Source organism: Homo sapiens, chromosome 17, assembly GCF_000001405.40.
Source record: "Homo sapiens chromosome 17, GRCh38.p14 Primary Assembly".
NCBI lineage: Eukaryota > Metazoa > Chordata > Mammalia > Primates > Hominidae > Homo > Homo sapiens.
In genome coordinates, this window is record NC_000017.11 from 38,419,047 (window position 1) to 38,445,987 (window position 26,941).

At 55.3% G+C, this 26,941-nt stretch overlaps 1 protein-coding gene across 8 annotated transcripts in view, besides 7 other annotated features; it reads left to right on the plus strand.

The window, feature by feature from the left end:
- The window catches only part of ARHGAP23 (Rho GTPase activating protein 23), a 93,111-nt gene continuing 66,398 nt past the window's right edge, over positions 229-26,941 (plus strand). For 7 of the 8 annotated variants that reach the window (XR_429909.4, NM_001199417.2, XM_006721993.4 and 4 more), the window contains exon 1: positions 9,418-9,502. Coding sequence is in view for 7 of the 8 variants with exons in the window: in NM_001199417.2 (NP_001186346.1) it covers positions 9,440-9,502 (63 nt within the window). In the remaining variant the exon portion in view is untranslated. Of the gene's footprint in view, positions 354-9,417; positions 9,503-26,941 lie in introns of those variants that run through there. The other variant, XM_006721991.2, reaches the window with a different exon arrangement.
- Positions 487-1,411: an enhancer, noted in NCBI's record as "H3K4me1 hESC enhancer chr17:36575776-36576704 (GRCh37/hg19 assembly coordinates)". NCBI's record gives its function as "activates a minimal SCP1, AML or CMV promoter by ChIP-STARR-seq in primed H9 embryonic stem cells {active_cell/tissue: H9 hESC(primed)}" and the evidence as "EXISTENCE:reporter gene assay evidence [ECO:0000049][PMID:30033119]".
- Positions 2,341-3,269: an enhancer, noted in NCBI's record as "H3K27ac-H3K4me1 hESC enhancer chr17:36577634-36578562 (GRCh37/hg19 assembly coordinates)". NCBI's record gives its function as "activates a minimal SCP1, AML or CMV promoter by ChIP-STARR-seq in naive H9 embryonic stem cells {active_cell/tissue: H9 hESC(naive)}" and the evidence as "EXISTENCE:reporter gene assay evidence [ECO:0000049][PMID:30033119]".
- Positions 4,856-5,501: an enhancer, noted in NCBI's record as "H3K4me1 hESC enhancer chr17:36580149-36580794 (GRCh37/hg19 assembly coordinates)". NCBI's record gives its function as "activates a minimal SCP1, AML or CMV promoter by ChIP-STARR-seq in naive H9 embryonic stem cells {active_cell/tissue: H9 hESC(naive)}" and the evidence as "EXISTENCE:reporter gene assay evidence [ECO:0000049][PMID:30033119]".
- Positions 9,582-10,491: an enhancer, noted in NCBI's record as "H3K4me1 hESC enhancer chr17:36584872-36585780 (GRCh37/hg19 assembly coordinates)". NCBI's record gives its function as "activates a minimal SCP1, AML or CMV promoter by ChIP-STARR-seq in naive H9 embryonic stem cells {active_cell/tissue: H9 hESC(naive)}" and the evidence as "EXISTENCE:reporter gene assay evidence [ECO:0000049][PMID:30033119]".
- Positions 10,492-11,399: an enhancer, noted in NCBI's record as "H3K4me1 hESC enhancer chr17:36585781-36586688 (GRCh37/hg19 assembly coordinates)". NCBI's record gives its function as "activates a minimal SCP1, AML or CMV promoter by ChIP-STARR-seq in primed H9 embryonic stem cells {active_cell/tissue: H9 hESC(primed)}" and the evidence as "EXISTENCE:reporter gene assay evidence [ECO:0000049][PMID:30033119]".
- Positions 16,924-17,424: an enhancer, noted in NCBI's record as "H3K4me1 hESC enhancer chr17:36592213-36592713 (GRCh37/hg19 assembly coordinates)". NCBI's record gives its function as "activates a minimal SCP1, AML or CMV promoter by ChIP-STARR-seq in naive H9 embryonic stem cells {active_cell/tissue: H9 hESC(naive)}" and the evidence as "EXISTENCE:reporter gene assay evidence [ECO:0000049][PMID:30033119]".
- Positions 21,723-22,225: an enhancer, noted in NCBI's record as "OCT4-H3K27ac-H3K4me1 hESC enhancer chr17:36597014-36597516 (GRCh37/hg19 assembly coordinates)". NCBI's record gives its function as "activates a minimal SCP1, AML or CMV promoter by ChIP-STARR-seq in naive and primed H9 embryonic stem cells {active_cell/tissue: H9 hESC(naive and primed)}" and the evidence as "EXISTENCE:reporter gene assay evidence [ECO:0000049][PMID:30033119]".

The window sequence follows — 26,941 nt, forward strand, 5'->3', positions numbered from 1 at the left end:
GGGCTAGCCAGGGATGTGCGAGGGTCGGGTGCGCGTTGTGTGTGTGTTCGAGTGTGTGTGCCCCCACGTGCGTGCGTGCGATTGTGCGGTTGCCTGTGAGCGCGTGTGCTCGCCGGTGCGCGGTGCTGCCACGGGCCGGGCGGGGTGAGGAGGGGAGGGGGCGGGCGGAGGGGCGGGGCCGGCGGGGCGGGGCGGTGCGGGGAGGGGGCTCGAGCGCTGACACCAGCCGCTACTTGCGCTTGGCGGTCGCCGGGTGCAGCTGCCCGGACAGGGCGCATGGAGGGGCCGCCTCCCCCTGCGCCCCCCGGGGCCGGCGCGGCGAGGACGGCATAGCAGGGCCCAGCATGGAGCAGGTGAGCGGGCGCCGGGCGTGGGTGCGCGGCCGAGAGGGGAGAGAGAGCTGCGGGCGTTGTGACCCGGCGAGGTGGGCGCGCCGAGCGCCGAGGGCCGCCACCGAGGGAGGGGTTGGGGCATTGGAGCTCCGGGCGGAGCGGGGGCTCTGGGGGAGGGATGGGACTGATGTGACACAGAGCTCACACACACACACACACACACACACACACACACGAGTACTCCCTTATCACTGACACCTAGGAAGGCGTGTGCAGAGGGCACCTCTCTCCCCACCCCCTTTCCAGAAAGAGATCACCCACACGGAGAAACCCCCATCCCCACTTGGTAAGGGTACAGCCCCTGCTCCCTGAACCCAGGCCCAAGGAGGCTACAGACTCTGCAGAATGAAGGAGTGGGTGGGCTCTGTGCCATATGACTACTGGTTCGTTGACCCCCAGTCCCTCCTGGTGGGACCTCAAGATACGCCGGTCCCCTCCCCCTACACATCAAGGGGTTTCTTCCAGCCCGGCTCCCCTCCTTTCCCAGTCACAGCAGCTGCAGCAGCTGCTGCCACCATTTCATGTCAGTGAAAAGATGGGGTGGGCTAAGAGGCTTTCTCCAAATGCACCCCAAAGGCAGAGCTGCAGCCCCAGCCAGGTTTTGGGAGGGGGGTGCTGCCTTCCTTTCACACAGGCTCCATCAGAATACACTGAGTGTGGGCTGGGCTCAGTGGGCGGGGATGAAGACCCCCTCTGGTCAGAGTTCTCATTCCCTGCACGGAGCTCAGCAAATCCCAGACAGGCTGGACCAGTCCCCTTCAGTGAGCAAGGGGCTGTATCCTGACTTGCAGCCCCCTGATCTAAGAGAAGCCAGCAGCCTGATGGGGGGCAGAGCGAGGGGGCTGCTCCAGGGGTTGCCTTACTCCCTTCCCAACCCCCACTTGGGGTGAGGTCTCAGGTGGGGTCTGGAGAGGCGGGATAGGTTTTCTATTTGGGACACACCTTTCAGTGCTCAGCCGCCCTAACTCCCTTCTTTTCCTGGCCCAAGTTCTTTGGGGCTGTTCTGCCTAAAGCAGTGGCTGGGGGCCCTGGCTCTGAGACCCTCCCCTCCAGGCTGAGCACAGGCCCCCTATCACTCTGGCAGAGGGCTTGTGGGTGGCCTGTGATGGTGGTGAGGAGAGGGGTGAGGAGGAGTGGAGGGTGAGGAGTCGGGGGAGGTGGAGTCCGTGGAAGGGGTGACCCTAAGTTCTGGGGGGTTGGAGAGGGGCACTGGGAGGCATAAAGTGCTCTGGGCATCCTCCCTGGGCTGGGTGTGAGTCTGGGGCGGGGCTGTGGCTGGTCCAGTTTCCAGGCCTGTTTGGCATCTTGGGCATTAATTTAAATGGCCAATGGCAGCTCCCCAGAGCAGCAGGCCTGGCTGCTATTGTCATTACTGACTGAACACAAAAATAGTGGTAGGGCGGGGAGGGAGGGAAGAGTAGTAAATGCCACTGAATTGCTCACTGTAAAATGGCTAATTTTACGTTACGTGAATTTCACCTGGATTTTTTTTTAAAAGAGGGGCAGGGCTAGGGGCCACTACTGCTTCCTGTCTAGAGAATCCTAAATGCATCTCACTGGGCCTGCAGCTCAGCCTGAGTTGTTCCTCCAAGTAGCCCATCTGCCCATCATTGGCCTTCATCAGCCCTCCGTAACTGTTCTGGGGATCAGCCGCTTCCCCTTTCCCAGAGGACAGACCACAGCCTGCTCCCCTGTACCCTCCCCTGGGAGGAGAAACATCAAGGGGAGTCAGGACATTGGGCTTCTGCCCTTGGCTCCATTACAGAATCATTGGGAAGCCTTGGACATTCATCCTGTCTGGGCTGCTGTGAAATCTCTGCCAGCTATGCCAAGTGGTGGCTTCTTGGTCCTTTCTGGATGTCCTAGGACACCTCTGCCAAGCACAGCAGCTCAGCCTGTCCCCTGGACTGTGAGGTCCCTCCCCACAGACATGGACTCTGATGATCGGCACACTCTCCGAGGTGCCTAGGCTGATGTGGTTAACGCCCGGCTTTCTGGATGCACCGGAAGCGTGGTGTGTATGGAGTGCGTCTGAAATCAGAGCTTCTTTCATTGCACCAGGGGAAGCTCCTATTTTAAGTTTCCCATGTGCTGAGCCCTCTTGTAAAGCAAAGAATCCTTTTATAGTGCGTGAGCCGCCGATGTGTCTGTTTGGTATGTGTGGATTTTGGCATGGAGGGCTTCCTTAAAGGGGAGCATGCCTGGAATCTCTCACGGGGGCTGGAACTGCTGGGTGGGGTGAGTGCCAGGACTGAGGGGCTTGCCCCACTGTGGTCAGTCCCGCCCCTCTTTTCTCCTCATCTGACTCCCAACACTCCCACCCAGGGCTGGCTCAGGGCCAGACAGAGGAGAGGGGAGCAGCTGCAGGGGGATTTCCAGAGCTTCGACGGGGAGGTGGGAGCCTCCTCTCTAATCCCTTCCCCTTTGCTTCCTCTCTCTTCCCTTCCTCTATGTTCCCCTTCTTTCCTCTTTGCTCCTCTCCTTCTTCCCTTCCAGAAGGGCAAAATGGAGACAGGGAGGAGGATGGGTCCCATGTGCAGTGATGTGTGGGGACCAGGTGGGGCTGGGCAGGGGCTGGGAGCCTGGAACAGAAGCAGGAAGAATTGAAAAGCCCTATGTAGAACTGTAGAATTTAGCATCCTGAGCTGGAATGAACTCCCTGGCCTGACCCCTCCCAGAGGGATCATTCGATAGAAAGAGCAACATCAGACTTCGGCTAGAATCCTGAATCCTAGCTGGGAGATCTTGGACAAGCTACTTAGCCTCTCTGTGTCTGTTTCCTCATTTACATAGCGGGGCTAATAATACCCACCTTACAGTGTTGTCATGGGGACTAAATGAAATAATGTTTATAAAGAGCTTGGCACATAGTGGGTGCTCAACGTATTTTAATTCCTTTCCTCTCCGTCTTGGTGTTTGCAAGCCCCTGCTGAGTGACGGCATGGTTTTTGTAAGGCATCTTTGAGCCTCGCGCACACTCACTCATACACAGGGTCCGTGCCACCGGCCTTCCCTGACAGGGTGTCACACAGTGAAAAGCCTGCTGGGCTGGGTTTCCCAAACGTAGTTTCCCTAAAGATGGCCAGTTCAGAGTGGCAGGGGTGGATTTTCTGTCGGCCACCTCCTGACCTGACATGGGGCCTCGCTGGGTGTGGCTTGCTTACCCTGCTGCCAGCTTACCCTGCTGCCAGCTCAGACAAGATGCAGCCTCTCGCTCCCGCCGTAGCCAGCTGTCCAGAGGTTTTCTGCGTAGGCCCCAGCTGCTTGGCAGATTACCAGAGCTCTTTGGCCCCAGCCTGGCCATGGGTCTTCAGCCTCCCTCCCCAAGGGGTGTTCAGGTGGGATTCTTCTCACAGGATTCCTGGGAGACCTGACACCAGGGATGAGTGGGAACTGGCATCATCTTGAGTGGACCATTGCCCCACCCTCCATCATTAAATATGGTCAGTGAGGTTCACTCTATGGGATGTCTGGGGCTGTGGCCAGCGCCTGTGCCCCACCCTCTCCCTCCTTTCTCTGACGTTTGCTAGTAGAGGGCTTTGAGGTCTAGGACAAACCCTGCCTGCCTCCCAAGACCCCTTCTTCCTCCCCTAGTCACTGGAGGCTCCTTCTTGTTTTGCTCAACACTGTGCTTGCACCACAATCTCAGCACCATCCCAGGCACCCTTTGCTGTGTTTGTTGCCCTCCGTGGAATATGGGGACGGTTCCCTCCCTACCACCCAACACAGCAGTTTGCATGTACTAGGTGCTCAATAATTTTTTTTTTTTTTTGAGACGATGTTCTGCTCTGTCACCCAGGCTGGAGTGCCGCGGCATGATCTCGACTCACTGCAGCCTCTGACTCCTGGGTTCAAGCGATTCTCCTGCTTCAGCCTCCCAAGTAGCTGAGACTACAGGCACGTGCCACCATGCCTGGCTAATTTTTTGTTTTGCTTTTTGTTTTTTTTTTTGAAACAGAGTCTCATTCTATCGCCCAGGCAAGAGTGCAGTGGCATGATCGCAGCTCAGTGTAACCTCCATCTCCCCAGTTCAAGCAATTCTCCTGCCTCAGCCTCCTGAGTAGCTGGGATTACAGGCGCACACCACCACGCCTGGCTAAGTTTTTGTATTTTTAGTAGAGATGGGATTTCACCATGTTGGCCAGGCTGGTCTCGAACTCCTGACCTCAAGTGATCTGCCCTCCTCAGCCTCCCAGAGTGCTGGGATTACAGATGTGAGCCACCGCGCCTGGCCAATAAATGTCTTTTGACTTGATTAAATGGGGCCCCTCTCGCTTTGGAGATACAAACTGTGGTGGGGGTGTTGCCTGTGGGGGACAAGTAGAGGACCTGGGGGCTGAAGCCATAAAAGTGCAAGAACCGCTGTCCCCTTTAGTCCTGCCCTGCCATCCTTCTCCACCAGGGGATGCTCTTTCTCCTTTGGTGGAAGGGCCTGAGCTGGGGCCAGGTGTAGGTGCCCGTGCCCCATAACCCACCTTTCATACATTATGGTTTTTCCTTTTCAGCTCACAGAGTTTTTCAGATTCTTTGTCAAATGTGAGCCTCAAATCAGAGGCAGGCCGAGAAGGCCTTATCGTTTTCATCTTACAGAGGGTGAAACTGAGGTTCTGAGAATATACTTGTTCTCAAAAGTCATACAGCTACTGGGGGCTGGGGCGCAGGGAGGGTGCAGCACGAATTTGAACCCAGGTCTTCAGATTCTTGATTCAGGGCTCCTTTGAGGACATCATAAACCTGGGTTCCTCCTCTGGAGCCCCACCCTCCAGATACTTTTCCTCCAGTCCGCTCATCACGCCCTCCTTGCGTCCCCTCCGGCTGTCTCTCCTTGGCACCTGCTCCTCAACCCAACAGCCTGCTGAAGTCTTCCCCACCCAAACAGACACCTGCCTTGTCCACACCCACCTGTGCTGCCTGCCTGTCGCCTGTCCCTTCCTGTTAATGCTCAGTGGGCAGATTCGACTCCCTCCTCCCTGGGGCCCCTCCTCCCTGCACAGTCTGACCCCCACACCCACTGGCCCCCGAGGCTGTTGTCTCTGCCCCACACAGTGCCACCTTCTCTGGCTGCCTGCTTCCTCCCAGTCCTTGTTGCCTCCTCCTTCTCTGCCTACCCCCAAGCCAGGGTTCCTCTCACTCTTCACTCTCCCTGGAGAATCTGAACCACACCCCTGGTCTCAGGGACTACCAGAGTCTCTAGCTCAAGCCTCTCTTTCAGAAGATGGACCCACGGTTTAAGCAGCCTGTCACCATTCCACCAGCCTCACAGCCTGCGGGTTAAGTGTATAGACCCTGGAGCCCAAATGCCTGGGTTCAAATCCTGTGTGGCCTTGGGTAAGATACTTGAGTTCTCTGGGCCTCATTTTCCTTATCCATAGAATGAGGATTGAGATCTATTTCACAGGCCTTTGTGAGGCTTAACTGGGATCTCACATACAAAGGACTTCGTGCCTGGCTTGTCCCCTCTCTCTGTGAACACCCTAGACAACCTGATATTCCAGGCCTTGGCCTTGCCCTGCACTCTTCCATTTCCTTCCTCCTGCTCACCAAATCCCAGAGCCTCTGTTGTTTGTTGCCCCTGCCCCTTGCTTTGGTACCTTTCTCCTAGAATCACTTTGCTTGCCGCCCTCCATTCCTGTTCCCGTTATGTGCCACGGTGGCCATGGCACATCGCTGCTTCAGCTCCCTGCCCCAAACCAGGCTAGCACGGAAGCGCCTCTGGGCAGCCCCTCCAGCGTCACACCCCCGCCTGTGTTTCCTTCCTCATCCCTCCATGCTTCCTGCCCATAGGCACCCTCCACTTGGCTCCAGCCACGATGCCGATGCCGGAGCCTGCTCTCTCTCCTGCCTCCCTGGTTCGCCCTGAGCATCACTCTCCCTGGAGTGCCTTTTTCCCTATTCCCACTCTCCCCTGCCCCATCCAGGAAGCCCAAGAAGCTCAAGGCACCTCCTGGGGAAGCCTCCTCTGCTTCTCCAGCCGAATGTGCTCCTGTGCTGGGAGTTCTTTATAGAGTCACAACTGGAGGAGACCCAGGCCCCTCAAGGGAAGGATCTAGGCCTCACCTCTGTATTCCCAGGGCCAACCTACCCCACCCCCTCCTCTCCTCTACCCCCTCACATAGTAGACCTTGTGAATGAAGGATGGTGATTGGGCTGGGGAAGGAGTTTGGAAAGAGGGGGAGTATGAGGAGGGTCCTCAACCAGGGAGACTCTCCCCATGTTGGGCTCTATGGCTCCAAACCCCAAAAAAATAGGGTACAGGAATACAGTGGGTGCTGGGGCGGATGGCAGGATGCATGGAGTGAGACCCAGAGTGTCGAGAGAGGAAGGGGAGCCCGGATGGAGAGGAAGGTGAGGAGGAAGAGCAGCTAAAGAAGATAGATGAGGTGGGCTGGGACAGGGTGGGGGTGCAGGTCAAGGTGCAGGAAGAGGTGGGAAGGGCGGCAGGGTGGGGAGAGAGCCGCACTTTCTGGGAAGTGGGAGCGGGTGGGGGAGGCTGTGCAGTGCATTGTGGAGGGAGGAATTCGCCTGCCGGTCAGTGTGAGCTCATTTCCTCTCACCCCCTCCTGCGGGGTCTGAGGGCATCAGGCTCTGGAAAAAGTGAGCCAGGGGCACCCCACGGCCACCACCCTCCCTCCTCCCCCATGGCCTCAGTTCAGTCTGATTTCAGATGCCAACCTTTCTCCCTCACAGAGACAACCCTTTATCCTGGGAGGAAAGGACCTCTGAGCCAAGGTGGCAACAAGCATTGGACCACTGGAGCTACAGGGCAGAAAGAGACAGGAACAGGGACCTGGTGGAAAGTTAAGCAAGAAAATCCAAGCAGTAGGCCAGGCGCGGTGGCTCATGCCTGTAATCCCAGCACTTTAGGAGGCCGAGGAGGGTGGATTACGAGGTCAAGAGATCGAGACCATCCTGGCCAACATGATGAAACCCTGTCTCTACTAAAAATACAAAAAATTAAAAAATTAGCCAGGTGTGGTGGTAGGCGCCTGTAATCCCAGCTACTTGGGAGGCTGAGGCAGAAGAATAGCTTGAATCTGGGAAGCAGAGGTTGCAGTGAGCCAAGATGGCACCATTGCACTCCAGCCTGGGCAAAAAGAGTGAAACTCCATCTCAAAAAAAAAAAAAAAAAAAAAATCCAGGCAGTATGACAGATTACAGTTAGACAGCAGGAAGGACTTTCCAGAAGTGGAGGCTAATTCTGGCTGCACATGACCTTGATAAAAAGGGATGAGGAAGGGAGAGGAGTCATTTAACTGCCCCTCCATTATTATGAAACAGAATCCCTTTCTCTTGACTGCCAGGGGATTTAAAATACATTAAATAAAGCATATGAGCTAAACCCCAGTCAGTATCTCATTCCTCAGGTTCACAGGAGTAGGGATGGCCTAATTGTTGTCTGGGGCACCCCAACCCCTCTAAGACCTGAGTTCCCAACCCTGATCAAGGTTAAAGGGGTGGAGGTCTTGGGGCTGCTCGGCTCTCAGGGGTCTCCTTGCCCAAGGAAGGTGGTGACTCCAGCAGGCAGAGCTGGCCTTCCCGCTTTCACTGCCTCCTCTCTCCAAGTCCTATTTTATCCTCCGCCTTCTTTTCTACATAATCTGGGAAAAGGAATATGGAAGCCCCTTAAACTGAAAAAGTCATGGGAAAGAGGTAAGCATAAGCTGGAGGAAGTAAGAAGCAGGAAGAATGGGAGTTAGATAGTAGAAAGAATTTTCTAGCTATTTTCTAATAATGAAGGACAAGGCCAGGCATGGTGGCTCACGCCTATAATCCCAGCACTTTGGGAGGCTGAGGCAGGCGAATATCACTTGAGGTCAGGAGTTTGAGACCAGCCTGGCCATCCTGGTGAAACCTCATCTCTACCAAAGTACAAAAGTTAGGTGGGCGGTGTGGCATGGGCCTGTAGTCCCAGCTACCTGGGGAGGCTGAGGTGGGAGGATCACTTGAACCTGGGGGCAGAGGTTTCAGTGAGCCTAGATTGTGCCACTGTACTCCAGCATGGGTGACAGAGTGAGACCCTGCCGAAAAAAAAAAAAGGAAAAGAAAGACAGAAGGACTGTCCCTCCCTGGACTGTCAGGGGATGGGCTGGAGGGGGTCCTTCTGGGGGACAAGGAAAGAAGCTGGCTCAGGACCAGGGCATCTCTTTAGGCCCAGCTCAGAGTGAAGCCAGGAAGGGTGGCTGTGGGGTGCTGGTGATTGGGAGCCTCTGCTGTCACTGCTGTTCACTGCAGAGCAGGACTGTGGGCTGGCCCCATGGCCTGAGCCCCAGGACTGGCTGGGTGGGGGTCCGAAGGGCTGGGGCACCTGCCAGCCTCTCTTCTATGCTCGACTCCCCCTCCTCTCTGGGATCCTGGGCTGAGACTCTGGCTGGGAGGGGCTTACCCTACACTGAGGGGCACCCCGTCTCCCCACCCCCTGCACTAAATCTTCCCTTGTGTCTCAATGTCTAGGGGTCTCTAAAGGGAAGGGGGCCTCTAAGCCTTTTTCTGTCTTCCCCCCTTTCTGATCCTGGGTCTCCTCATCTTTGTTTCTGACTTTCTCTGCCTCTCTCTGCGCTGTCTCTATCTTGTCTCTGCCTTTCTCATGCTTTCTGGGTCTCTGGATCTCTGTTTCTGACCATCTCTGGCTGGCTGTTTCTCTTTGCTTCCCTCTCCCTCCCTCCCTATCCCCGTGCTAGTTCTGGGTTCGGTGCCCTTGTCCTCTTTCCTGGGCCTGGATGGCCCTCTATCTGGGCCGGTCCCTTAGAGGCCGGGCAAGCGTCTCCTGGAGACCGCCTCTCTTCGCCAGGCTGGGCTCTGACGTCCAGCTCTCAGGCAGCGCTCGCCTCTGCCTCAGCCCGGTTGCAGGTCTGTGGCCCTTGAGCGAGGCCGCCGGGGCACCCAGAAGGGAGCGCGGGGTGGGTGGTGGGAAGGGGGAGGGGCGAGGGGGCGGACCCCGGGGGGGGCCCCCCCACACCGCGCTCGGCCCCGCCCCCGGCCCCGCCCCTCCCGGGTCCCTGCCGGCGCCCCCAGCCGTGCCCCGGCCGCAGAGCCGCCGCTGCCACCCGATGAATGGAGTCGCCTTCTGCCTGGTCGGGATCCCGCCCCGCCCGGAGCCCCGGCCCCCACAGGTGAGGGTGCTGGGCCAGGGAAGTGGGCGGGGCCGGTAGCTGCTGGGGAGCGGGCTGCCAAGCCAGGGTCGCTGCGACCCCGCTCGCCCTGCACAGCCTGGGGCGCACGGTGGGCGCGGGCACCGCGGGCACCGCTGCGGGGAGATTCAGCTGGTGGCAGGCCCGGGAGGGGGCCCGAGCAAGAGCTGTCCGGGGTAGAGGGGTGGGAAGGACGGAAGCAGGCAAGGGGTCGGGACGGGCACGGGGCTGTCAGGACAGGGGGCACAGACCCAGGTGGCGGTGCCAGGCCCCCAGCGGCTGGGCAGCGGGGGCGGGAGGCCCGCGGCTTTTGTTCGGGTTTTTCAGGCGGGGCGCCTGCCGCCGTTTCCTCTGCCCGAGTTTTCGTTTTCCGTTGGCGAGGCCCCGGCACAGCTGGAGGGAGAGGGGGTGGGGGAGGGGGTTCCCGGAGCGGGACGTCCTCCACTAAGGCGTCCGGACACCCCCTCCCCGCGCCACACTCGCCCCCTGCCGGGTCGGACTGCGGGACGGGTTGCCAGGCGCGGTTCCGCCGCCCTCCTGGATCCTGGGGAAGTTCTAGACACAGGCCCAGGACCCCGGGCTCTGCCGGCGAGGCTGCCCTCCCCTCTGCCCTCTCCGACCGGCTGTGGGTGGGTCAGAGCGCGGGGTGCCAGGGGCATTACTCAGCGCTGGGCTGCTCTGCCTGGGTTCTTTCATCTGCCAGCTGCTGAGGCTGGGGAGGGGCCAGCAGGGGCCTCCCAGCCCCATCCCCCCATCAGGGCCATTCCCTTACCTCTGAGCCTGGCTGCCCGCCCTGCAGGAGCCCCCCAGCAGGCCTCCCTGCTCCTAAGTTGAAGGGTTGAACACTGTCAGGCCAACAGTTTCCCTGAGCTCGGAAAAGAAATTCCCCGGGGTCCAGGTTGAGGTCAAGGCCAGGGCTGAGGCCTGTTCCTCTTTAGACAGGGCTGAAAGACTTGGGGACCCTCCTCCCCAGCTTTCCCGGCAGTGTTGAAGGTGGGATCTGGTGCTTGCAACTCTTTTGGAGACTGGTGTGTTCCTTGGTTGCTGGATGTGTGTTCAGTTCTCCCTCAATCTGCATCTCTCCCCGACTCCCTTCAGCCAAAGTGTGTTTCCTAATTATGAACTTGAAATTCAGGATGGACGGGGGGTGGGGGTGGAGGTCATGAATCCAAGCATGAGTCCCTTGGATTCAATCCCCCACCAGCAACACATACTTCATCTCTATCCCCTGCACCCCTCTCTGTCTCCACCCCAACCCTGCGGCCTAGCTGGGGGTGAGTGGCTTTTGATCCCATGTGGTTCTCCCCTCTGCCAGGGCAACAGACCCCATTCCCCAAAGTGACAGCTCTCACTGCCATGTGCTCCTTGGCATGCGATTTGAATCTCGATTATATAACCAGTCATTTCGCCTCCAAAGGCAGCCCAAAGGCCCCCGGCCCCAGCGGCTTCTTCCACTTGCCCACAGTGTGGTTGGGTCCACCCCAAGGTGGCTGGGAATTCCAAGATCCTGCATCTGAGGACCTGACCTCTTCTTGGGAACCATGGGAGCAGTAAATCCTCTACATTCAGTGCTGGATTCAAAGGCCTCAATAATAATAAACAGGAAGAATGGGAGTGGGCAGGGTAGGTGTTGGTGTCCCATTTCACAGAGAGGGTCTGAGCCTATGTAGTGACAGTGCCCAGGCAAGAACCCAGGACACTTGAGGGTAGTCAGGGCACAAGATGAAGCTTGGGGAGGAAAGCTGTTAGGAAGGTGTCTGACTACGGGAATAGGTCAGGCTTGTGTGGATCCCAGCCCAAGCAGAGAAGGACTGGGTGGGGGGAAGAGGCCCTGTGCTTGTGCCCCTCTCCTCGGGCTGACCCTGGCTCACGGGGAAGAAGTGCAGCATTCTTGGCATGGATGGGAGTGGGGGTGAGGGAGGGTGCTGGTTCTGAGCAGAGCAGTGCAGGAGTGGGTAGTGGATTGCTTCATCCTACATTGCAGGGATACTCAGAAGGACTTCTTGATGTGTAAGGTTAAAAGAGAGACTACAAAGCAGCAGCATGGAAGAAGTTACAGTGTGAGGGACTGCAGTTAGATACTCAGGAGAACTTCTAGGGAGGGGCTTGTGACCCACAGCATCCCAGGCTAGCCATGCAGGGAAGTTTCCTCCAGTATAGTGGGTCAAGTGGATTCTTGTGAAGTTGGATTCCAATGTAGAAACCTGGAGATGGTCATTGGAGATATCAAATATTCCAGCAAATATATTCAAATGAGCACTGGTGCCTGGAAACAAAAAATGTGTTTTTAAGAAAGGGGAGTTGCTTTCACAGTATAGCTCATAGTTAATACACAGACAGCAAAAACTCCTGGCCAGTATTTATAAAAACTACCTCATTTGATCCTCACAATACCACTAAGAGGTAGATACCATTATTATCCCCATTTTACAGTTGAGGACACTGAGGCATAGCCAATATTGCAGCCCAAATCACACCCCCAGTGCACTGTGGAGCCAGGGTAGGAATGTGGCAGTCTGGCTCTAGAGTCTGGCTCTCACCCTCACTATCTGGCTTCTCAGGACCTGCTATGTCCCGCTGTCACTCCCACCCCAAATCCGTGTCCATTTTCTACACAGCCCAAGATCAAGGTCAGCTTCTGGCTGGATTGCAGCTTAGTTGCTTGTCTTTTGTTCTATTTCTTTACTCCTCCAATCTTTCCCACCCTGCCCCATGCTAGCCCATAGCACTGGGCCAGGGCTCGGTTCACTGGTGTTTTCCTTCCAAAGGGGCATGAAGCCCTGCTCTGTTGGCTGCAGGGGTTCAAAGGTAAGATATTGGCTTGGTCAGGGATTTGGACAAAGCCTGGTTTTAATGATCCTGCTCTCACCATCTCGGGAGAGAGACATGAATAGGGCCTGTGGGAGCTGGTGCTGCCTTTCCCCTAGCACCCTCCACCCGCTTCAAACAACCCGCCTTCAGATCCAGGCCCCCCTGTTTCTTGTGAAATTGTGCCAGTTTGTCAGCAGGGCAGTACCAATCTGTGCCAGGTGGGTGTCTCCTCCCCCATTGCCTCAGTGGGACATCAGGCTGAGATGGCCTTGGGGCTGGACTTTGGGGAGATTTTAAAGCCCTTTTGGGTTGGGGTGTATTTACCACCTGTCAGAGTGGGTGAGGACCAAAGGGGTGATCGTGTCCAACTCTGTTACGCTACAGTGGGGAAACAGACTGGGGAGTGCCCAAGGTCCCTCAGCCTCGGCAGACAAGGACCCATCTTCTGACTCCCAGCTCCCAGGCCATGCCTTTCCCTCTGTGGTTGGTTCTGTCCTTCGTGGCCCCCCTCAGTGCAGGGTTCATGGACTGGGCTCCAAGAGGGAGAGGGGAGGGCAGGGAGCTGCAGGGATGAGTGGACAATGTATCCTGTTCATCTCTGTGTCCCCAGTGGCCAGCACAGAGCCTGGCACAGAGCAGTTCTCCATAAATGTTTGTGAAGTACAAACCAGGGAACAGCCCCGCCTGTGGCCCCCCAGGGCGCCCCATGCCCAGCTCTACCCCTGACACTGTGATGTTCCATCTCATATCCGTCTACCCTACCAGGTAGGAGTTATTTGAGGCCGAGAAAAATGATAATAGCAACTTCTTCCATAGTGCTTACCACTATGTTGGTATATTACCATCACCCCACTTGACAGATTAAGAAACTGACACAGGCCGGGTACAGTGGCTCACACCTGTAATCCCAGCACTTTGGGAGGCCAAGGTAGGAGGATCACTTGGACTCAGGAGTTTGAGACCAGCCTGGGTGACACAAGGAGACCCAATACCTACAGAAAAATTTTAAAAATTAGCTGGGGCCAGGAGCAGTGGCTGACACCTGTAATCCCAGCACTTTGGGAGGCCAAGGCGGGTGGATCACCTGAGGTCAGGAGTTTGAGACCAGCCTGGCCAACATGGTGAAACACTGTCCCTACTAAAATTACAAAATTAGCTGGGTGAAGTGACACACACCTGTAGTCCCAGCTACTTGGGAGCCTGAGGCAGGAGAATCGCTTGAACCTGGGAGAGGGAGATTGCAATGAGCCAAGATCACGCCATTGCATTCTAGTCTGAGTGACAAGAGCAAAATGTAGTCTTAAAAAAAAAAAAAATTAGCTGGGCATGTAGTCCCAGCTACTCGGGTGGTGGAAGTGGGAAAATCACTTGAGCTGGGGGGTTCGAGTCTGCAGTGAGCTGTGATTGCACCACTGCACTCCAGCCTGGGCAACATAATGAGACCCTGTCTCAAAAAACCAAACCAAACGAAACAAAAAAGCTCTGCCTGCCTTCAGCCTGCTGAGGTCCAAATTTTAGATGTACTCCTTGTTCACTGTGTGCCCTTGGACAAGTTACTTCATTGTTTTAGCCTCGGCTTTCTTTTATTCTTTTGAGGCAGGGTCTTGTTCTGTTGCTCAGGCTGAAGTGCAGTGGTGTGAGCTTGGTACACTGCAGCCTTGAACTCCTGGGATCAAGTGAGCCTCCCTCCTCAGCCTCCTGAGTAGTTGAGACTACAGGTGCATGCCACCATGCCCAGCTAATTTTTCCATTTTGTATTTTTTATAGAGACAGGGTTTTGCCATGTTGCCCAGGCTGGTCTCAAAATTCCTGGACTCAAGTGATCCTCCCACTTTGGCCTCCCAAAGTGCGGGGATTACAGGTGTGAGCCACCACACCTGGCTGGTTTTCTTATCCCTGAAATAATCCCTCAAAATTACAGAGAGGGCTAAATGAGGTAGTATTGGTAAAGTGGCTGAGATTTAGTAATCTCAATTATTGGTAGCAACTATTATTAAAAAAAATCAATGGATAGAAATGAGAACAATGCACTTTTGCCTCAGTAAAAAGTACTGACCTTTATGGTCAGAGCAATCTAAAGAGAAAGTGACCTGCCTCTGGAGGTAATGAGGCCCCCATCACTGGAGGTGCAGTGAGGTCTGGGCAAGCACAGGCTGGAGAATGATGTGCACTAGAGAGAATTCAGCAAAGGCTTGGCACAGGAAACTTTAAGGGCCCTGCCTTGGGATCAGCACTATATGATAGGAAATTAGAGGAGCAGGTGAATCCTACTTCCTACTGTGGGGCATTGAGGAGAGCAGGCAGAGATGTCCCCAGCCTCTGGGAACATCAGGGGTTGGCTGCTATGGTTTGGACTGTGAGGCTCCCCAGAGGATAGGTAGTCCTGAGAGGCTGCCTGGAGGAGGCCTGCAAGGGTGGGTATGGTTCTGATAGGTGGGAAAATGTGGGATTGTATTCTAGGCCCAGGAAGGGCTTGGTGGCCGAGGGACAGAGAGGAGCCTGGGCCACTGGTCCTGAGGTTGGCCCCGGGGTTGCGTCATCATCCTCGTGCCTCAGTCTCCTGGGCTGCTGGGATTACAGGTGTGCCACTACACCTGGCTAATTTTTTTTATTTTTTTAGAGACAAGGTTTCGGCATGTTGGCTGGCATGTTGGCCAGGCTGGTCTCGAACTCCTGACCTCAGGTGATCCACTTGCCTTGGCCTCCCGAAGTGCTGGGATTACAAGCGTGAGCCACCGCGCCTGGCTGGATTTTGTCATCATCCTGGGTGCCCAAGGGGTTTGGGTGTATGGTGGTGGCAGTGGGGAAACTAGTAATTCCCTGTCCCGCCAACCCCCCAGCTTCTCCTGGAGGAGGAGCCAGGGCTACTCCCGGTGGCAAGGAGCCCGGGCCCGTAAGGAGCGGAACTGGGGAAAGAAAGACTTCTTATGCCCAGTGCATTTGGGGGCGTCCGGGGGTCGGGGAACAGTGGGGCCTTTGTCCCCAACCGCTGGGAATCTGGCCGAGGAGCTGGCCCTGGGTCTGGCTAGGCCCTCGGAAGGCAGGTCCTCTTTGAAGTGACCCTTTCAAAGCTCGGCCTGAATCCCTGGGAGGAGAGACAGCATGGGGCGGGGCGTGGGGATGACTGAGACCCAAGGGCCGAGGCCTGAGGGATAGAAACAGACCCGGCCTTGGCCTCTTGGGGTGTGGAGGTTGGTCGGAGGTGTGTGGGCCGGAGGAATGTGGTGGGCTGGGAGACCGCGTGGGAGCCATGTGGGAGGACAACCACGCAAGGGGCCTTAGCCCCAAGTGGGGGTGCACCTAGGCAGGGGCCGAGTTCATTCTGGCCCGAGAGTGTTTCTGTCTCCTATCTGACTTCTGTCTGGCTCTGTGCTCCTGTATCAACAGCTGCTTCTTCCTTTTTAATTTCCCCAAAAGTGTGAGAGCTTGGAAAGAATCGGGTGTGGACGCCAGACTCAGAGCTCTTGGGAGGAGGGAGAGGTGGGGACCTGGGCAATCCAGAGCTTTTCCTGCTTCTGAGAGCCCCCGAAGGCTGGAAGGAGAGGCTGGAGGGGACACCCCCACCTCCCGCATAGAGTCTCCCTTATGCTCAAGGTGGAGGAACTCTGTATTGTTCCTGAAAAGGGACAGAAGGAGGAGGAAAGCTACCCAGAGAGGGGACATCTTCCTTTGCTTCAGCTGGAGGAATATCAGAGGCCACCCTCCTTCCCTGTCTCTCCATTTGCCTCATGGGGAAACTGAGGCCTAGAGAAGGGACAGGCCAAGGGGATAGAGCAGAGAGGAAGGGACCAGCAAGAGTGGAAGGAAGCCAGCCCTGTGTGGTTGGAACTGTAGGGACTATGGTGGCTCACACCTGTAGTCTCAGCTACTCGGGAGGCTGAGACAGGAGGATTGCTTGAGAGGATGGATGCCAAGTGGGAGGAGGAAGGGGCCTCAGGTTGTTGAGTTGTCATAAGAGGGTTGTAGAGAAGTGCCCAGAGTCCCTTCAGCTCTGACCTGCGGTGATTCCATGAAAAGAGGGAGAGGAAGGAGTGGTTCCTGCTGGTGAGTTCCCAAGGTCCAAGTAGAAAGGGGCACCCCAGGCTTTTGGACTGAGCAATGCACAGGGGAGCCTTTGGCAGCCCAAGGGAGAACCTTGCCCCCGAATCTGATGCTGTTTGTACTTCTTGCCCTGGAACCCGATCTCTCCTTGGCCTCACGGCAGTCTCTGTACTGGGGAAAATTTTTTGTTGTTGTTGTTTTCGAGACAGAGTCTCGCTTTGTCACCCAGGCTGGGGTGCAATGGCGCGATCTCGGCTCACTGCAACCTCTCCCGGGTTCAAGAGATTCTCCTGCCTCTGCCTCCCGAGTAGTTGGGATTACAGGCGCCCTCTACCATGCCCGGCTAATTTTTTTGTATTTTTAGTAGAGATGGGCGTTCACCATGTTGGTCAGGCTGGTCTCAAACTCCTGACCTCAGGTGATCCGCCCGCCTCAGCCTTCCAAAGTGTTGGGATTACAGGCGTGAGCCACCGTGCCTGGCCTGGGAAGATTCTTATAAATCTCCCTTTCCTCTTCTGGAGGTGTGGCCCTGGGCTCCTCCCCAAGAGAGGTGGAGGAGGGGGCGGAGGCCCCAGGCTGCAATGGAGGCTGTCTGCGCACTGTTATCTTGCACTGGCATCACAGAGCTGAGCTTCATTAGCTCTAATGAAGCCTTGGCACTGTGCCCCTCCCACACAGCACCTAGACGTTTCAAGGAAGGCGAGGGGGACAGCTGAGGTTGGGTCCAGAGCCCAGGAGATGGTCGGGGGGATGTTTGCAAGAGGAGAGGGTAGGAGGCAGAAAATGGGGACCACACAACCAGGCTGGGGTTGCCAACATGAGGGAGAAACAGCCCCTCTTCCTTCCCCACTGGGAGCTTTTTCTTCTCCAGTGGCCCAGAGGCCTAGGTACCCCCAGTGCTAGGGAAAGCCTTATCTGAGAGACGGGATGTGGTCTGGGGATGCTGAGGATATTCCCCTCAGCTACCCCTACCCCCCCAAAAAAAACGCTGAGGAGAGTGCCCCTCCTGCCCTCTCCGTAATTTCAGCCGGGGGCAGGAGAAGGCCCTGATCCCAGCATGGGAGGCCCAGGGCTTGGGAAAGTCCGCCAGTGGGCTGGAGCCGAATCGAACCCACTGTCAGTGGTGATCACTGGTTGCTCGTGCTCTGCGTTCCAGGCTCTCTCTTGGGACCTGGATGAATGAGAAACAACCCTGCTCTCAAGGGCCTCCTTGTCTGCTTTTCCTACCGCCCAAAAGCCAGACAAAAAGTCTCCACAAAGACTGTAGAACCATGAGTTCTAAGATTTGCATCCAGCCCATCGATCAGTCCAGAACACCCCTCAGGGGCCCCCTGCCAAAAATATTAATGTAAAAACGGCCCAGTCTGACTGGGGTGATGGACCTGCAGCCTACACAAGCCAATGTCTTCACCATGGTAATCGTTGGAAAGTGAGTGTGGTCACAAAGGCGATAACGGGAGTTTAAAACTGGAAGCCGGAAGCTGGGTAGAATTGCCACAGGGATTGGTTAAAAACCAGTTGGTGATATGATTAATCTCCTTTCTCTCATCTGTTTCCAAATCTATCATTAACCTGAGGATTCTATAGTGAAATCCTTTTTGATCGATTTTCAAGTGCCGTCATAAAGGGGGTGTATAATTACAGATGCAACGACTGAGACCTGGAGTGGGCAAATAACTTCACTCAAGGTCACCAAGCATCAAATTTCAAGCTGGGCCAGGCATGGTGGCTCACATCTGTAATCCCAGAGACTTGGGAAGCTTCGACAGGAGGATTGCTTGACGCCAGGATTTTTTTTTTTTTTTGAGAGAGGGTTTTGCTCTGTCACCCAGGCTGGAGTGCAGTGGCACAATCAGGCACACACCACCATGCTTGGCTAATTTTTTTGTAGCGATGGGGGTCTCCCTATATTGCCTAGGCTGGTCTTGAACTCCTGAGCTCAAGTGATCCTCCTGCCTTGGTCTCCCAAAGTATTGGGATTACAGGCATGAACCAAAGATCAATTTGAGACCAACATGGGCAACATAGCAAGACCCTGTCTCTAAAAAATTAGCCAGGTGTGGTGGTGCACACCTGTAGTCCCAGCTACTCGGGAGGCTGAGCTGGGAATATTGCTTGGACTCAGGAGTTTGAGGCTACAGTGAGCTATGATTGCACTGCTGCACTCCAGCCTGGACAACAGAGCAAGACCCTACCCACCCCTACCCCCCCCAAAAAATATTAAAGCTGGGTCTTTCAGAATCCTAGGTCTGTCATTGTGGTGACTGCTGTATTCTCTGACAACAAGGAGCCTGGGAGGACACCCCTCACCCAGGGAAGTTAGACCCTCTTTTCCACAGCTGAGCCCTGAAATCCAAGCAAAGGTTGGCATAACGAAGGGGGGGGAGGGCAGATGTAATGGGTGGTGGGTGCAGAGAGATGTAGATTAAGTTCTGCTTCTCTGTGTCTTCTGTGATTCAGTGTGGAGTCTGGATTTGCTCGTGAGTGGCGTGGGGGACCCCAGGGTTCTGTCAATAAACATGGCTGAGCCCCTGCCTCCTCCAAAGATGGTCCAGCTCTCAGGGGAAGAAGGCTTCACTGTGGGGAGATGAGGCTTGCCAAAGCTTGAAAGATGTTTGCTAGGGCCAGGCACGGTGGCTCACGCCTGTCATCCCAGCACTTTTGGGGGCCAAGGTGGGCAAATCACGAGGGCAAGAGATCGAGACCGTCCTGGCCAACATGGTGAAACCCCATCTCTACTAAAAATACAAAAATTAGCTGGGCGTGGTGGCATGCGCCTTTAGTCCCAGCTACTTGGGGGGCTGAGGCAGGAGAATCACTTGAACCTGGGAGGTGGAAGTTGCAGCGAGCCAAGATCATGCCACTGCACACTCCAGCCTGGTGACAGAGTGAGACTCCGTCTCAAAAAAAAAAAAAAAAAAAAGATGTTTGTTGGGGCAAGAAAGGGATGGAGGAGAAGGGAGAGAAGGGTGTGCCAGGCAGAGGGACCAAGCATTAGCACAGGCAAGGAGGCATGAACCAGCTTGGCCTCTTAAGGGATTGATGAATACAAGGCCCAGAATAGAGGGAGGAGGTCAGGTTGGCAAGGCCAATGAGACCAGATCCCGCCCCTTCCCTCCCCCATCAGGTCGTATCCCTCATGCCATACTGAGGAACTTGCTCCCATAGCTACTTTGGAGCCACACAAGGGTCTCGGGCAGTGGAGGCAGCAGACCAGGTGAAAGGAGATGGGAGCTGAAACTGGAGGTACAGTTGGAAGGGTAGGATAAGAGTGGAGTATGTTGGCTGGGCGTGGTGGCTCACACCTGTAATCCCAGCACTTTGGGAGGCTGAGGTGGGCGGATCATCTGAGGTCGGGAGTTTGAGACCAGCCTGACCAACATGGAGAAACCCCGTCTCTACTAAAAATACAAAATTAGCTGGGAGTGGTGGCACATACCTGTAATCCCAGCTACTCAGGAAGGCTGAGGCAGGAGAATCGCTTGAACCTGGGAGGCAGAGGTTGTGGTGAGCCTAGATTGCACCTTTGCACTCCAGCCTGGGCAAATAGAGCGAAACTCCATCTCAAAATAAATAAATAGATACATACATACATAAAAATACAAAAATTAGCTGGGTGTAGTGGCGGGCACCTGTAAATCCCAGCTACTTGGGAGGCTGAGGCAGGAGAATCACTTGAACCCGGGAGGTGGAGGTTGCAGTGAGCCGAGATCGCACCATAGCACTCCAGCCTGGGTGACAAGAGTGAGACTCTGTCTAAAAAAAAAAAAAAGAGTGGGAGTATGTCACCCTCTTCCCCTTTCCAGAAACTTGCTGTACCGTCTCTTTCCCTTGTCTAGAAGGGCCTTCTCTGCCTTTTCCATTTCTCCAACTCCTATTCCTCTTTCAATGCCCAGTTCAAATATCTTCCGTAAAGCCTCCCTCCACCACTCAAATATATGGCGACTTCCTCCTCTGTGCGCTAGACCTTGTGCCCCGTGAGGGTAGGGACTTTGTCTTGTTCACTGCTCTATATCCAGCTTCTAGGCCAGGCCCTGTTGAGTGAACGCTGCTGACTGATGAATTGAGTGTTCCCATAGCACTTGACACTGCATTGCCCACCAATAATAATAACAATGGGAGTATTGGTTATAGCAAACTTGTATTGCGGGCCTCAGGGCCAGACACTGCTGTGCTGAGCACTTTACACACACCGTCTCTTTAATCTGCACAACAATCCCATGGGCGATGGATTATCTCTATTTAATAACTGTGGAAACAGAAGCTTAGGGAGGTTAGTAATTTGTCCAGTGACATACAGCTAGGAAGTGGGCCTGAGTCAGGATTCAATCCAGCTTCCTCTGAATCCTGCTTAGGAACTTTTTTTTTTTTTTTGAGACCAAGTCTTGCTCTGTCACCCAGGCTGGAGTGCGGTGGCGCGATCTTGGCTCACTTCAACCTCCAACTCACAGGTTCAAGCGATTCTCCTGCCCGGCTAATTTTTGTATTTTTAGTAGAGATGGGGTCTCATCGTGTTGACCAGGCTGGTCTAACTCCTGACCTTAGGTGATCGGCCTGCCTCGGCCTCCTAGAGTGCTGGGATTACAGGCTTGAGCTACCGAGCCCAGTCGGAACTTTTTTTTTTAGACAGTCTTGCTCTGTCACCCAGGCTGGAGTGCAATGGCGTGATCTCTGCTCACTGCAACCTCCTCCTGGGTTCAAGCGATTCTCCTGCCTCAGCCTCCCGAGTAGCTGGAACTATAGGCACGCACCACTGCATCTGGCTAATTTTTGTATTTTTGGTAGAGACAAGGTTTCACCATGTTGGCCAAGCTGGTGTCTAACTCCTGGCTTCAAGTGATCCTCCGAACTCGGCCTCCCAAAGTGCTGGGATTACAGGCATGAGGCACTATGCCCAGGCTCTGCTTAGGAACTTTTAAACACTATGCCCTACAGCACCTTTATTTGTTGCATGTCTATGTCTTTGGTTTTATAAAACCAGGGACTGCTTTTGTTAGTTTTTGAAAATCCTCAGACTACGGGACTGATTTGTTGAGCAACTTCTACATGCCAGGCACTCAATGCTGAGTCCTCTCCAGGACCCAGTTTACAGCTGAGGAGACTGAGGCTTGGAGAGGGAAAGGACTTGACCAAGGTCATGCAGTTGGGACCTGAAACCTGGCCTCTGACTCGTCTTCCCTTGTGTCACTGGCCCCCCTAGCCCGGTGCCAGGCCCTTGGTGGCACCCAGTGAACAGTCCTAGAATGAAAGAAAGAGGAACCGGCTCTGAAGGTGACTGCTTTCTTTGGGGGCACACAAGTGGCCGGACAGGGGCCGTGGACTGGGCCTCCAGCCTCTAAGCCCAGTGTGTGTCCCACCGGGATCACTGATGAGGAGAGGGATCTAGAGGCCGGGACTGGGGATGTCGTAATTTCCAGGTGCCCAGCTGTCTGTCAGACCTGTGAGCTCCAAGGAGAGGCTGACCTGGTGCTGGGGTGGTCAGAGATGGTGTCCAGGGCAGGCAGAGCCTTACCACGACCTTTAGAGGCCTCCAGAGGCTGCACAGCGTCAGTGGGATTTTGGCCACGGGTGACCAGAAGGAACCTCCAAGCCTGGGAAATGCAGCTGCAGTGGCCACAGCGCAGGTGGGCAGAGGCCCTGGGTTGTGCTGCAGGTTGGGCACTGCCTTTTGCTGAGTGACCATTCGGCCTATGCTCCCAGCCCCACAGGGATCCACCAATCAGACCTGCCTGCTGCTGTGTATTTGCATCTCACTTGCATGACAACACCCCTTGCTCTGTCCCCAAGTGTGCTTCCCCAGCCCATGCCCCATTCCCCATTTCAGGCCCCCTGTGCAGAGCTCCCGTGGGAGGGGCAGAAAGGCCCACCTGGGCTGCCAGCCTGGCGCACTATTCATAGCTCAGGGCTGGCGTACTTCACATACTTGGCGTTTCTCATGTCTGGCTGGCCCAAGGCAGCCACCCCTCTGTTGTCCTCCCCTCCCTCCTCTCTTCTCTCTTTCCCCCTTCCCCTCCTCCCTTAACCTCTTCCCCCACCTTCTTCCTCTCAACCAATCTTCCTGAAATCTACAGATGTCCAAGTCCCTCATCATGGAAGAGCCCACATAAGGAAACTGAGGCCCCAGAGAGGGCGGGGACTGGAGGGAGAAACCAGTAGTGATGAGGCGTATAATGAGGTGGCCGAGAGTCTGGGCTCTGCCCACAGCTTCAATCCTGAGCTGACATTAGCTGTGGCACCATGGCAGATTCCTTAGCTTGCTAAGTTAAACAAGCGTTTCAGAAAGTCAAGCTGAGACCTGGAGGGTAAGGGTTGAGTCAAGGGAAGAAGGGGACGGGGAGGGGGCAGGCAGGCACTGTATTATAGTCCAGGGAGAGGGGAACTTGGATGTGGGGAGCAGGCTCTGAGTCTCAGGACAAGGGCTTGGCACGTTGCAGAACCCACGAGGAGGGCTCGTGGCTGGAGTGTGGCCAGCTGGGGTGAGGGCACAGAGATGCAAAGAGGATTGAAGCAGCTCCCCCCTTTTTCCCCACCCCTTTCTCCCCCACTCCTTTTTTTTGAGCCTGGATCTGGCTCTGTCGCCCAGGCTGGAGTACAGTGGCACAACCATGGCTCACTGCAGCCTTGAACTCTTGGCTCAAGCAATCCTCCCACCTCAGCCTCCCAAGTAGCTGGGACTACAGGCGTGCCCCACGGCACCTGGCTAATTTTTACTATTATTTTTGTGGAGATGGGGTCTTACTATGTTGACCAGGCTGGTCTCAAACTCCTGGGCTCAAGGGATCCTCCTGCCTCTGTCTCCCCAAGTTCTGTGATTACAGGCATGAGCCACCATGCCCGGCCCCCCTTTCTTCCTTATTCCAGCACCCCCGACTTCTGGATCTGGTTCCCTCTGAGGAAGGGGTGGGGATATAAAAAGCCCCTGCCTCTGCCAGACCCCTCCTGGGGACAGGGTTCTGGTTACCTCTAACTCTCTGAGGAAAGGCTCATTCATTCTCCAACATTTAGAAACAGTGTGCAGAGCACCCACCCTGGGCCAGGAACCAGGGATTTGACCACCAGCAAAGCAGACATGGTCCTTGCCTTCCAGGACCTACAGCCCTGTGGGGAGATGTTGGTCAAAATAAGCTCATAAATAAGTAGACACTGACAAGAGGGTGCACAGGTAACTGACCTGGTCTGGGGCCAGAGGAGGTGTGCCTGGGGAAGTGACATTTTTGTTAAGAGCAACAGGGTGGGTAGGAGTGAATCAGGGCATGGGTTGCATTCCAGAAACAGCATGTGCAAAGGACCCGAGGCTGGAAGGGTGCCTGGTCCTCACAGGAGGTGGAAGGAGGCCAGGGTGGCCAGAGCACAGAGGAAGAGGGTGTGGTGAGTGTGGGGGCCAAGGCGCGTCCCACAGGGCCTGGTGGTCATAATATTAAAATAATCAATCTGGACTGTCAGATGCCAGAGAGGTGACTGCCGCTTGGAGCAGGGCAATGGTGTAATGAAGTGAGCAGACTCCAGAGACATCTAGGAAGCAGAGTCTACTCCGATGGGGGGATGGAGCGCTGGGGCCATAATACCTGATTCTTGGTTCTCAGCAACTTTTTCAGGCTGCTATCTCTGTCTTTATTTTATAGCTGAAGAAATAAGGAAACTTGAGTGACCTTGAGTGATGATCTTGAGGTCACACAGCCAGAAAAGGGCCAGGGCCAGTACCAATGGCAAGTGTGGCCTTTTCTCTGTGTTAGCCTTCTTGATGCCAGGACAGTGGTCACTTTCTCACCATCCTCCCTGTCCCCAAGCCTCGGTGCCCCTGCAGGTCACCCAGCATTCCCTGCCTAGCACCCAACCCGGTGGAGAGCCAGGAGTTGCAGGTGGTGGGTGCTGGGTGCTACCTTCATTTCCAGAGGTTGGTTAAATGAGTTAGCGCATCTAACAGCAGCTGCCTGGGGCATAGTAAGCACTCAGCAAGTATTCTTGACTGTGTGGCTGTTATCCTGTCCCCAAATGTGGGGCCAGGCAAACTGGCAGGGGGAGGCGGGAGGAGGATCTGGAGTGAGGATGATGCCATCTGTCTTCTTCTGACCAGAGAGCCCAGCCCAGGGGGCTCCCTCATGGTAGTGACCCAGGGGAGGCTGTTTGTCCCTGCAGAGCCACTGTCCCTGCCACCTGTCCAGCTGCCTCTGGGCATCACAGACTGGATTAGGGAGTGGTTCAGTTCATAGGCAGGGCCACATGTGTGAAGGGGAAGGCAGGGGTAACCGGGAGGGATGGGCAGGGCTGGGGTGAGGGGGTGGGTGGTTTCAGGGGTGGGGCTGACAGCCTCTCCCTGAAGGGAGCCCCATGTGCCCCCGGGAGACTTTCGGAATCTGCTGAGACCTGCCCTGGGAGGGGACATGGTCTTAGCTTGACTGGGACCCAGCTCTTGCCTGAAGGAAACCAGTGTGTGCACCTGTTACCTCTGCCCAGGCTGTCAGACAACAGGAAGCACTCCTGGGGGGCGGGGGGCAGGCGGAGTCACACCTAGAGCTTTCCCCTAGTCTCCTCTGAAATGCACTGTCCAGCGTGAGACCAGGGGATGGATCTGCTGACCTTAGAGAAGAGTCATTGCAGGCATTCCCCTGCCTCTAGGAATGACTGCTCCAGTCTAGTCTGAAAAGGGGCTCTGGCCTCTCTCCTTGACCAAAGGGAGACCCCGAGATTCCACAGTTGCTCTGTCCTTCTGCAGGAGATTCTTCTCCTTTGTAGGAGATGGGGAGGGGAAGATCCCAGGGCAGGTTGGAGCTGAGGGGCCTGGGGAGCGAGGTTGAGGGAATGAGGACCCTTCTGCTCGCTCTGGGTTGTCAAGGAGACGAGGCATGCCAGCGCTGGGCCAGCAGGGGGCTCTGCTGGCCACGGGACCTGCCTGCCAGGCAGCCGAGATGTGCACCCTTCATTGTGCGGGCTCATTTCCAGGAGTGCCTGAGAGGACGCGGCGGTGTCTCTGTGGGCACACCCTTGTGTGTATGTTACAGGTGGGTGTGAGCGTGTGGCGCGTTGGAATGGGCATGTGTGTGCTTGGTGGGTTTGAGGGCCCCCACACTGAGCCAGGTTTCTGCCAAGAAAACTCTTCCAAGTTCCTGCCGGCAGCCTTGGAAGAGTTTGTGCATGACTGGGGATGGCAGCCTCTGTGGATGGCAGGCCCCCATCAACGCCAAGGACCTGATGCGTGCCAGGTTCAGGCTGGGCGATCCCCCTGTGCGGGGACCTCTAGGGCTCCAAAGATGACAGTAGAGACTCTGAGGAGGTGCAGTGGAGAAGGGACGGCAGGGAAAGGTCTTCCAGGCAGGAGGTGCCCAGCTCCTGGGCAACCTCTGTGGGCAGAGACTTCTCCTGGGCACCAAGGAGAGACCTGTTCATTTGTTTCATCTTTCAACATTTTTTTTTTTTTTGAGACAGAGTTTTGCTCTTGCCGTCCAGGCTGGAGTGCAATGGCGTGATCTCGGCTCACTGCAACCTCCACCTCCTGGGTTCAAGCAATTCTCCTACCTCAGCCTCCAGAGTAGCTGGGATTACAGGCACCTGACATCACGCCCAGCTAATTTTTGTATTTTTAGTAGAGATGGGGTTTCACCATGTTGGCAAGGCTGGTCTCAAACTCCTGACCTCAGGTGATCCAACTGCCTCGGCCTTCCAAAGTGCTGGGATTACAGGCCTGAGCCACCGTGCCTGGCCTTTTATTTTGTGTGTGTGTTTGATTTCTGACTTGGCCTTTTTAAAAAAATCACAAAATATATAATACGGCCGGGTGCTGTGGCTCACGCCTGTAATCCCAGCACTTTGGGAAGCCGAGGTGGGCAGATCACGAGATCAGGAGATCGAGACCATCCTGGCTAACACAGTGAAACCCTGTCTCTACTTAAAAAAAAAAAAAAAAAAAAAAAGATAGCTGGGCATGGTGGCTCGCATCTGTAGTCCCAGCTACTCAGGAGGCTGAGGCAGGAGAATCGCTTGAACCGGGGAGGCAGAGGTTGCAGTGAGCTGAGAGCACGCCATTGCACTCCACACTCCAGCCTGAGCAACAAGAGCGAAACTCCATCTGAAAAAATATATATATATAAAACAAAATTTATAATTTTAACCATTTTTAACTGTAAAGTGGCATTAAGTACATCCATATTATTGTGTTATCACCATAAGTGGTGATATTCCACTATCACCGTAAGTGGAATAATATAATATTTATTCATTCATTCCTTTTTTTTTTTTTGAGACAGGGTCTTGCTTTGTCACCCAGGCTGGAGTGCAGTGGTGTGATCACGGCTCACTGCAGCCTTGACGCCCTGGGCTCAAGGGATCCTCCCATCTCAGCTTCCTGAGGAGCTGGGATTATAGGTGCATGCTACCACGCTCTGCTATTTTTTTATTTTTTGTAGAGACAGGGTTTCACCGTGTCGTCCAGGCTGGCCCTGGACTCCTGACCTCAAGTGATTCTCCCACCTCAGCCTCCCAAAGTGCTGGGAATACAGGTGCTGGGATTACAGATGTGAGCCACCAAGCCCAGCCAATATTAATCCTTTCACTTAGCATAATGTCTTCAAGGTT